The sequence below is a fragment of the Homo sapiens genome, chromosome 12 (assembly GCF_000001405.40).
Source record: "Homo sapiens chromosome 12, GRCh38.p14 Primary Assembly".
NCBI lineage: Eukaryota > Metazoa > Chordata > Mammalia > Primates > Hominidae > Homo > Homo sapiens.
In genome coordinates this window covers 91,873,260-91,885,367 of record NC_000012.12, presented here as the reverse complement: position 1 = coordinate 91,885,367, position 12,108 = coordinate 91,873,260, and the positions used below count along the sequence as shown (strand labels likewise).

The 12,108-nt window shown below is 36.7% G+C and overlaps 1 long non-coding RNA gene across 2 annotated transcripts; it reads right to left on the bottom strand.

The window, feature by feature from the left end:
• Positions 1-4,700: 4,700 nt before the first annotated feature.
• Positions 4,701-10,065, bottom strand: LINC02404 (long intergenic non-protein coding RNA 2404). 2 transcript variants are annotated; one of them, XR_945201.2, is made up of 3 exons: positions 9,964-10,065; positions 7,879-7,975; positions 4,701-5,801 (listed from the first exon to the last, which is right to left on the bottom strand). It is a non-coding gene; the product is annotated as a long intergenic non-protein coding RNA 2404 (long non-coding RNA). The 2 variants fall into 2 exon arrangements; XR_945199.3 differs by lacking the exon at positions 9,964-10,065 and adding an exon at positions 8,093-8,240 and having other exon boundaries at positions 7,879-7,978.
• Between the last annotated feature and the right edge of the window lie 2,043 nt (positions 10,066-12,108).

Below are 12,108 nucleotides of genomic sequence, written 5' to 3'. Positions count from 1 at the left end.
AAAAGCATTAGTTAAAATTACAAATAGTCTCCTGTCAGCCAATCTAACACTTAGCAGCAGGCTCGGCATGGCTCTGATTAAATTCTTTTTCATTTGCTTTTTGCACATATGTGTGTATGTGAATATCAATGATTTCAGTTTTTTGAAAACATGTTTTCCCTTCATAATGCTTTATTTAAATGGGAAAACAACAACAATAAGCTCCCAATGACTTTAGTGAGACTAGCATTGAGTAGTGAGAGGTTTGACACAAAGGAAATAAAAGCTGTGAAAGAAAAGCGAGCAATGAATGGACCTAGGTACGTGGTAGATGGTGGTGTGCTTGTCATTAGCAAAGAAGCACGTGTGAGTTGTCACGTATTTCATGTCAAACTGGTCAAAGGCATTATTTTAAAATGACATGTGGTTCATTGGGAATCAGTTTACTTCCATTCTTATGTTCAAATTAGGTTAATTTTTTCTTTAGTTTTCTCAAAGGGTGAAAACATCCCATCTCTTTTACAGACCTCCAGGGAAAGGCATGGAGGTTTGAGGCATGAAGACTCTAAACAGCCAAATTATGTCTTGGGCACAGATTCTATTATTCGGTGGGAACCCATCAGTCTAGTTTTCTGTGAAAAGTAAGTCCCTTCCTTTGTATTGCCTGGTCAGTCGTTCAGTTCTGATTGTAAGACATGTTCAATTAGGAGGTTTCCTTCTTAGACACAGTGAACAATGATCACTTACGAATGCAGAGGTTCATCGTTGAGGGCAGTCATTTATTTACATCATGGATGGAAGTTTTTCTTTAAAGCACAGTTTTCAGGTTTACTATTCCCAGGAAACATATCAAAGCATGTATTTGAAAGGCTCAATGTCAGAATCCCTGCTTTGTTTACCAGAACTGTTTTTCACCTTCTGTAAAATCACAGATGGGTGTTAACATTTCAGTGAATAAGATGTTCCATTGTGTGAAACAGCGGCTCCTAGCTTTCATACATTTCCAGGATCAAGCCATTTCACTTTTTAATCATAATGACCATAATAATAATTGCTCTAATAGTTATTGCATAGATACCACCATTAAGCAAGTTAAGTTCTCAATATCTCAGTTTACCCATCTGTACAATAACAATGATAACGTCCTCCTAAAATGTCATGAGGATTAAGTGATAGAATGTATATCATTACTGGACTATAGTAGGTGTTTAATAAATGATAGCTATTCTCATTCGTTTTATGTGTTTACATCATATAAAACTTCTGTCACTTTATTTGAGAGAGCTATAGATGCGATCAAGTGACACTCCTTCCCCAGGGAGTCAAGCCTGAAAAGAAATAAACACTGCGGCTCACTGAATGACTTGCCATTAGGATGGTAATAAATACAGCCCTGCTGTCCATGGTGAAATAGTACTAATGATTACCACACTCTTATTTTCCTCTGTCAGACCATGTACGATTACAGCCCTGGGTCAGTTTGACTTAAACTCAGCTTCTGGTCATCAGGACCTAGTGCTAAATACCTTTTAAATATTAGAATTCTCCAAAAGAAGGGAATTTTTAATCTGGTAGCATTCTAATAAGCTCTTTTCCTATAAATATGTGAAATTGTTATTGACTATTATGCATTTTAATTAATTTTGTTTTCTTTTTGTACTTGTGCCTGGGGATAACACTGAGAAAGGCATTATTTTAAAGATTGAATGAATAAGTAACCCAAACACAAATGATTTATCTTTCCCTGGATTATGACATTTAGAAAAAAATAAAATAGCTATGTTTTTATATTATGTGATAGATTATTTTTTTGCTTTTTTCTCATTACGTTTAACACATTATAACATAATTTGTTGTATATAATATACACATATATAACACATTATGTTAGTCAAATTCCACATCCTATGAATTTTTTTAATGAAACCAATTATTTATTTCTCTAGTTTTTTTAGAGTTCTGTTTCAGTGACTTATATGTGAAATACAGAAATTCCCAAATGAATCGGCAAAAGTACAAAATATGTTATCTTAAATAAAAGCTTATATTCTAATGTTCATTGCCAGTATGTGACATTCTTAGAAGTCATCAGCTGGTGGGATACTATAGCTGATGTTCACAATATACAAGGTTCAATCTGTTCACACTCTCCAGGGTTCAATAGTTCATCGGAGATAAGCATCTATAGTAAGATGTTCTTTTGAAACTTGTCAGGAAAATCTTAAAAGCATTGTCGCATTAATTTTCTCATTATTTTTCATTGTATCACTGGTGGCAGATAAGGATGAAAAGGGCTCAAAACGGTATGTCTAGAAAGAAAAAAACCGGCCCATTTACTAATCTAAGCATGGAATAGAAATTCTCCAAGTTGATTTTGTTTTGCCTCATTATCCATATAAACCAGGGATTTGAGGTAAGACCTGACTCCAGAACTCACATTGATCTTCACAACTTCCTGCTATCCCTTCTGGAAGAACCCAGGCAAAAAGCAAACCCAGAAGTAAAATTTTCACCTCTCAAATATTCTAAATCCTTTTTCTTATCCTTCATGTTTTCTCGCTTATCAACCCCACAATCTGCCTTTGTAATCTACACATTCTGAGGCTTTAAATCTTCCCAGCTGGGTCTCATATCCCACTCAGGTTGACATTTGCTTATATATTGTTGTCTTGACCATCATATCCCTTCAGAGAAGAAGAAACCACTGACGTTGAAGGTAGGAGAAATGTCTTGTGTCTTAAGCTTTACTGTGTGAACTTTTTTTTTTTTTTTCCAAGATGGAGTCTCGCTCTTTCTTCCAGGCTGGAGTGTAGTGACATGATCTCTGCTCACTGCAGCCTCCACCTCCCAGGTTCAAGCAATTCTCCTGCCTCAGCCTCAAAAGTAGCTGGGATTACAGGCACTCACCACCATGCCCTGCTAATTTTTGAATTTTTTGTAGAGACGGGGTTTCACCATGTTGGCCAGGCTGGTCTCCAAGACCTCAAGTGTTCTGCCTGTCTTTGCCTCCCGGAGTGCTGGGATTACAGGCGTGAGGCACCACACAGGGTCTACAGTGTGAACTTTACATTCACTTGACATCATTGCCCTTTGCAAAAATGGAATGAGGGTGGGCTTGGGCTATCCAATGTTAGATGCTTTTAAAGTTCTAACCTTGAATGTGGTAGAAATTAGTGTTCATGGACTCTTGCAGCCAGAATGCCTGGATTTGAAGCCTGTTTCTAGCACCTGTCACTGTGATTCCATCCAGTTACTTGTTTCTAAGAGCCTCAATTTCCTCATCTGTGGTATGGGCATAATAATTTTTCTTTCAGAGTGTTGTTATTAAAATTAAGTTAGAAACACACATATGCATTAGTAAAAGAGTATACATCTGATACTCTTTTTGTAATATGTATATTACTCAATAGACATGAGCTACAGTAGTCCTCCCTTATCCTTGGGGCCATTACCTTTCAAGACCCCCAGTGGATGCCTAAAACCATGAATAGTAGTGAACCCCATATATTCTACGTTTTCTTCTATACAAACATGCCTATGATAAAGTTATTTATAAATTAGGCACAGTAAGAGATTAACAACCATAATAGTATAACAGAACAATTATTTCAATATTCTGTAATAAAAGTTACGTAAATGTATTCTCTTTCTCTCTCAAAATATTGTAATATTTTTGGACCATGGTTGACTACAGGTAACAGAAACCCAGAAACATGAAACTGTGGCAAAGGGGAACCGATTGTACTAATCCTAGCCATTTCTACTAATTAATAGGTTAGGTTTATAAAGTACTTTCATTTACAATATTTCAATTAACCATAGCAAGGATCCTGATATTAGGATAAATAATGAAGCCCTGAAAAGTTAGTTGACTTATTTAAGGTGAACAGGTGGTGGTGGTTCAAGAACTGGAACCCATATCTTGTCTAGGGTTTTATTAACTACACAAATACAATGATACATTTACAACTTAGTCTTTGACGACTAACACCTAAGACTTTTTATCTTTATAAGATCTTTTAGGAGATTCTGTTGTTGACATGAAATTGTTGTTATTTTATACTACATTGTAACTAAGAATAATCAAGATTTGTTTTCTGAACTGCCTAATCTAGGAGCAATATCCATATTCATATAAAGTTTGAGTATATTTGAGTAGTGTCTAAAGTCAAACATGTTATACTGAGTTCCTTACTTACATCTTTGTTTTTCTGAGGATGTAGGTTGGGATGTGGAATGAATGGATCATTGCAGAATTAATTTGAAGATTAGCATGCAAGTGAAAGCTGCTGCTTGATTTGTACAGAAATGTGTTACTCTTAGAATATTCTGCAGCGTTAGGATGAACTGTGAATGTATGCATATGTGTATTTGTGGGTCTGATGATATTCATATGGAGAGAGTAGTCTTCTTTTGAAAGCTACACTAATACATTTCTGTTCAAATACAGAAATCGACATTCCCATTTCAACTATTTATTTGGGGAGAAAAGGTTCAAGTGCAGGACTGACTTACCTGACCTGTTTACTGAAAGTGTGATTAATTTTTGTGCTTACAAGGATAGAAGTGCAGAAAAGCTTTTCCTTTCCTTTGTTATCTCTGTGGCATCTTTTGACCTACACCTGGTAATTCTCTGTGATGAAAATGTGCAGAAGAAAACAGCTGTGTGCAGATAGACAATAGGGAAAAGGCACAGGAAGAGGAACTGAATGAGAAGTGCATTTTACAAAGTATGAAAGTAGAGTGTTTTATTTATTTTATTTTAGCAATAACAAAAAAGGCACTACATAAGAGTAATGTAATTTCAGATGGGCCAGGAGCCCACCCAGGCCGAGCCATCAACCAATCTGGTCTCATCTTCTTTTATCCAGGCTTATTTTGTTTTCACCAGAAAAAGGCCTTATTAGTTATTTAATACAAAGTACATGCCAGGTACAATTCTAAATATCTCAGCTGCATCATTGTTTAAATTTCTTCATACCTAACAATCGTAACAATTTCTTCAATCCTAACAATCTTATGCTGTGGGTATCTTGGTTTCTGTTTTTCAGGTAAAGTCTAGAAAGTTGACATATAATGATTTTTAGAGAGCTGATAAGTCAAAGGGTCAGGATTTGTACACATTTCTGCCTTATTCTGAAGTTGAAATCATAACCACAATGCTCATGAGCATCTGTTGGGGATGGTGTTCGTGGGATGTGTGATAATTAATTTTATGTGTAAACTTGGCTTGGCCATGGTATGCAGACATTTGGTCAAACATTATTTTAGATGTTTCTGTGAAGGTCTTTTTGATGATACTAACATTCAAATCAGTATGTATTGAGTAAAGCAGATTACCCTCCAGCATGTTCATGGGCCTAATCTAATAAACTGAAGGCCTTGGTAGAAAAAGATCCACCTTCCTGGAAGATGAGGGAATTCTGCCAGTAGATGACCTTCTGATCTAAACTGCAATTTAGCCTTTCCCTGGGTCTCCAGCCTGCTAGCCCACTCCACAGATTTTTGATTGACCAGCCTGCATAATGATGTGAGCTAATTCCCTAAAATAATTCTCTCTTTCTATATATACACATCTGATTGGTTCTTTTTCTCTAGAGAACTCTGATTAATATAAGATGGGTTTTTCATTCATTCACTTTATGCAGGGGAGTTGGCTGAGGGAAGACCCAGATTATGGTTGCCTGTTGTGGCTTTCTAGGTCCTCAGATCCAGGTGGGCATCATGGGCCTCTGTGAGCTTTCTCAGGAGTGTTGGCATGGTAGGTAGCTAAGAGCAGATGAATCTTCTTTACCCCAGTGCATGATTGTACTTCCTGTTTCCTGGTTTACCAGCATAAGATGAAACACATTATTTAGTATTTAGTAAATACATTTCAGTTTATCTTAAGAATATATTTAGAAATCAGCCCACGGTTAGTAAATAAATGATATATAGCTTCTTATATAAAATTAGCATTTCATGAAAGCCTATTACATGCTGGATACCTTGATAAGTCCTTTCCATATCCAGAAAATATGTTATCTTTTGCCCTCATAAGCAACTCTAAGAAAACAAATTTGTTGAACTTAAGTTTTAAAATGAAAAAACTGACATCCCAAAATAATTAGTAACTTGCATTAGGTAATAGAGGAGCTGGGATTTCAACCCAGTTCCATCTGATTTCAAAGTTCATCTTCTAAATGCCCACAGTTAATACCCTCTTTTTACATTATATGCACCTGAATATATGCACAACAATCTAAAGTATAAAAATCACATAAAGGACATTCCATTTTCACAGACTAAAATAAATTTATAACATTCCTAATTAATTCTCTGCTATTAGAATAATCTTTGGTGATCTACCTCTATGATTTTATGCTTTTCTTTAATTTTCTTTAATAGTTGAATGGTTGACCTGACCTAGTACAATAACTATCCTATAACATTTTATTATAATGATTTTATTTATTTCAATCATATTAAATTTACAAGGTTTACAACTCATATTATTACTTTTATTTGTTCATTTTCATTAATTTAATAAATTAATAGGGACAGAATGCAATAAAACAAACTCAGCTTTACAAGCAAAAATAAGACTGTTTCTAAACCTGAACTCTTGGCAAACAAACAAGTACTCCCACTGGAGAAAAAATAATGTCTCTTCATTCATCAGTTTATATACATACTTCCAAAAGAAATTTTAATATGTAGTGGATGAGAATGTGTCAGCAGTTTTTTTAGAGATTAACTTGCAAAAGTTAAGGATTATCTGTTTTTTATAATATCTCTTTTATTTATCCTGTTTTCCATCATAAATGACCTTTCAGACTTTTGGAATTCAGTTTGGCCAACCCATGGTTCATTGCAGAAGCCAATTAAGAAAAAATAAAACCAGTTAATGTAAAGAGGTGAAAAGTAGAACCCTTTGTAAGAGCTCCTTGATAACTTAGAAGTCATGAGCGTATTTTTACAAACTATGTTTCACATCACATTTAATGTGAAAACCAGTGGTAGCCTTGTAAGCATCTACTAACTTTAATGGAGACCATCATGTTGGAAATTGATAGTGGAAGATAACATGGTCTCTAATATCTACCTCCAACTCTAGAAGGCAATATTATCTCTTTACCCTGGAAAATTGGTATGACTGGCCAAACTAAAGTTTGAAAAAAATTAGGCCAAGTTTAAAGACATCAGACTGTGGTGGGCAGACAGCTCTAGTAAAGCTTGAAATACAATCAGAAACATGGGAGATGTTCTACTTCTGAGCATGGAGACATATTGTCAAGACATGTGTCATCATCATTACAATGAGTACATTAGGGACTGGGCAAAGTGTTGGAAAGTCCCACAGTGAGGTGGCTGCTAAGGGAGGGGTTTCTCTGTGATTCTTACCCCAGGTAACTAGGGTGCTATCAAATTTATTCCATAAACGATTCAGAGCTATGTGAATTGAAGGGATATTCCGAACTAGAAAAAAGTAGAGTAAGTTTCTCCAACATCTTAGTTTATTTTCAGTAAATCTTGATTTCTTTTTCTTTCCTCTCCTCCCATGCAGAGCTAAAAATATCCAATGCAAAATAAAGAACTCCTATAAGCACTTACATTGATCTAATAATCTGATTATTATTTTAGCCTGGTTAATTAAATGGGCAAAGTTCAAAAACATAAAACCAAATCAAACATAACCACACCTTTATATCCACAGCATTTTGTAAGCTCAGAGAAACAGCCAGATCGAAATGTCTAATTGGCTTAAAGTATAAGTGGACTTTAATACCGCAAACACTCTACGTAATTTTCTGCAAGTTTATTTGAATGGTGCAAACTAAATGGATGAGATTTCTTTAAAGAAGGAAGTGTTTAAGTGATGTTGAATTAACACACAAATGATTAAATGTGTCAAATTACCATTTGTCCTTTGGCAAAAGCTTCAGAGCATCACCAGGGAAATAACCCTGGCCCACATTTGGTGGACTTCTGCAGAACTCATACACACATCTCCTTTCTGCTGAAAAATAACAGACGTCTATATGAAAAAAATAAGGCATATCCTCTTTGATAAATCACTTAAAGGGAGAACTGGTGAGAGGGTAAAGCAACAGGATGTGGGTGTCTGACTTACAATGCAAGCTGGTCACATGCTGTACATGTTGACATCAGCTGCGGCAGAGACATTTTCCTTGGGTTTCACACCAAGAGTGGCTGAACCCACTCCTGTGAGTAACACCACACACTGCATCAAGCAAGACTCTGTGTCACAGCATCCCTCATGGCCCTGCTGTCCACAGGGTCTTAGAGGGAAACTGGCATTGTCATCAGCCCTCTCCTGTCTGGGACCTGCCTTTGATCGTTTTCACAGCTGTCACACTCCAGTCTGCTCACAAAGAACAACAGATTGCTGGGAGAGGAATGCTCACCATACAGCTACCTGAAAGATAAGAACTGCCATTGTTTTTCCCCTTCTTTGTTCCAACCTCCCCAATAATGATGGAAAGGTGTTCCTCCCTAAAATACACACTGGAAGTGTCAGAGAGATGCTCCATCCTGTGGACCATCATCTCTTTGTCTCTGAGAAGCCCCCAACAGACCAGATTCTGTTTCTTATGTGACACAGGTCGTATTTTGCCTTGCAGTTATTTTTTCTGTGCAAATCCTATTCCACTTATTTGAGATAGGAAACATGCCCTACTCATCTTCTTATTGTCCATTACAGCTTTCAGAGGCTCTGAAAAATAAATATTTGTTAACTTAAATAAATTCCAGAAGCATTCTAATGAAAAACAGTATGTGTATTAACCCAGTAGCTATTTACTGAGTGGCTACTATGTTGTAAGCATAATTATATCCTAGTTCAAAGTGACTTGAGCATGAATATTATGAGTTTCTGCTTTCAACTCATTTATATGCTATTAAGAGAAATAGAGAGAGGAAGGAAGGGAGAGAAAGAACAGGGTATGGTGGAAATCTAGAGCAGGGAGGAATAAACTTTGCCTGGGGCAATTGGTCAAGTCTTCCAGGAGAGGAAGAGTTGATCTGGGTTCTGAAGGATGGGTAATACTCAACAGGCAGTTAATGGGAGTGTAAATTACTTCAACCATTGAAAAAATTAGCATGGTGATTCCTCAAAGAGCTAAAAACAGAACTACCATTTGACCCAGTAATCCCATTACTGGCTATATATCCAGAGGAATATAAATCATTCTGCCTTGAAGACCCATGCACGTGAATGTTCATTGCAGCACTATTGACAATAGCAAAGGCATGGGATCAGCCTAAATGCCCATCAGTGACAGATTGGATAAAGAAAATGTGATACATATACACCATTGAATACTATGCAGCCATAAAAACGAATGAGATCATGTCTTTTGCAGGAACATGAATGGAGCTGGAGGCCATTATCCTTAGCAAACTAATGCAGGAACAGAAAATCAAATACCATATGTTTCACTTATAAGTAGGAGCTAAATGATGAGAACTCATGGACGTACAAAGAAGGAAACAACAGACACTGAGGCCTACTTGCGGGTTGAGGGTGAGAGGTGGGAGAAGAGCAGAGAAAATAACTATTGCATACTAGGCTTAGTATCTGGGTGAGAAAATAATCTGCAAAACAAACTCCTGTGACACAAGTTTACCTATATAACAAACCTGCACATGTACTCCTGAACCTAAAATAAAAGTTAAAAAATAATCAAATGGCAGAAAAGATAATAAGGACATTACAGGCAAAGTGAGTAGTTCTTGCAGAACAAAATTTATGGAAGGAATGTTTTAATTAGGAAACTAAGAAAAGTTCAGAGTGACTGGAACATTGAGAGAAATAGGGAGAGAAGGGGCATATTCATTTTTGACTGCTGCATAATGAGTGATCACAAACTTGGTAGCTCAAAACAACACTGTATTAGTTAGGGTTTTCTAGAGGGACAGAACTAACGAGAGAGAGAGAGAGAGATAGATAGATAAAGGGGAGTTTATTAAGTATTAACTCACACTATCACAAGGTCCTACAATAGGCATCTGTAAGCTGAGGAGCAAGGAGAGCCAGTCCAAGTCCCAAAACAAGAACCTGGAGTCCAGTGTTTGAGGGCAGGAAGCATCCAGCATGGGAGAAAGATGTAGGCTGGGAGGCTAGGCCAGTCTTTTCACGTTTTTCTGCCTGCTTTATATTCCAGCTGGGCTGGTGGCTGATTAGATGGTGTCCACTCAGATTAAGGGCGGGTCTGCCTTTCTCAGCCCACTGACTCAAATGTTAATCTCCTTTGGCAACACCCTGATAGACACACCCAGGATCAATACTTTGCATCCTTCAGTCCAATCTAGTTGACACTCAGTATTAATCATCACAAACACGTAGGTATTATCTGAAGACTTTTATGGGTCTGGGTATGGGTTAACTGGGTCCTCTGTTCATAGTCTCATTGGGCTGAAATCATGGAGTTGGCTGGGGTTATAATCTCGTTTGAGGCTCAGGGACCTCTTTCAAGCTCACATGGTGATTGGCAGAATTCAGTTATCTGAAGCTGTGCAATTGGGAAAATTATTTCTAACTAGCTGTTAACTGGAGACCCCTCTAAGTCCTAGAAGTCACCCACACAGCCCCTCCATAGGCCCTGTCAGAACATGCCAGTTTGCTTCATTCTGAGGCCAACAGAAGAGCTTCCCTATCCCATTTCCGCTTCCCTTAAAGCACTCATCTGATTAGGTCATGCCCACCCAGGATCATCCCCCCTTTTGATGAACTCAAAGTCACATGATTAGTAGTCAGTGATATCCCACCATATTCACTTACTCTGCCCACATTCAAGGGGAGGACATTATAACAGGTTGGGGACTCCAGGAGTCAGAATCTTAGAGCTCTTTCTATCACAATCGAAGTAGGAAAAAGCTGAAGGAATCCAAAATTTGAACTTTCTGTAGGCCCTGTCACTATCCATCTAGTTTTGAGTCCCTTCATTGATATACACTTTTATCTATAAAACCTTCATAGAGATGGTCTCAGTCTAAATAAATAATATAACTAACAGAATTCTGCACACTGCTTTGCACATATATCTATGGTATGAAGTTTCTTCATACCAAAGCCACTCTGAGGAATTCACACTATTCTTCAGGGTGAAGAATGGAAAGTTTGTTAACATTGTTAAGAAGGGAGGGAACATGATCAGATTTGCTTTTTGCACTGGGCCAGGATGATGAGCAATCTGGCCTCAAACTCACTACTAATTTGTATTTTAATTACCCTAATACAACACATGACTAAGAATTTGATAATACTTAGTTTTTATGATGGAAAATTTTGAACATATCAAAATAAACAGAATGATATATTTCCCCATGTCCTGACCTTGGTTTTGGTAGTTATCAACTATCAATGTCATGTTTGTTTCACCTTTCCTCTTTTCCCATTTTCTCCTATTTTATTAATATTTGTTTCTTTAGTTGTTTTTGAGGCAAGATTTATATATATTCAATTACTGTACAATTTTGACCAATGCATACACTCATGTAACCCACACACCTATCAAGATAAAAAGTATTTTTTATTACTTTTATTACTCAGAAAGTTTTCCCATATCTCTTCCAAGTCAACCCCTCCCACTCTGCTAAGAGGCAGCCACTGTTTTTGTTTTCTGGTTTTTGTTTTTTGCCACTCTTAGAACTTTATATAAATGGAGTCATACAGCATGCATTCTTTTGTGTCTGGCTTTTTTTCACAGCATAATGTCTGGGACAAGCATTTATGCCATTGAGTGTATTCACAGTTTATTCCTTTGTATTGTCAAGTAGTAGTCCATTAAAAGAATATGTCACTGTTTTTCCATTATTTTCATACCTGGGCTGTTTCCAGTTTTGGGCTATTACAAACAAAGCTACTATTTCCATTCTTATAGATGTCTTTCTGTGGACATCTATTTTTATTTTCCTTAAGTAAATATATAGGAGTTTGCTGAATTAAAGGGCATACATACTATATCTAAATTTATTAGGAACTGTAAAAATTTCTTTCAAAGTGTTTGTAACATTTTACACTCCCATCAGCAATGTATGAGAGTTACAGTTGCTCTGCATCCTCACCAACACTTGTTGTTGCTAGTTTTAATTGCAGCCATTCTGATGGGTGTATATTAGTGTCAC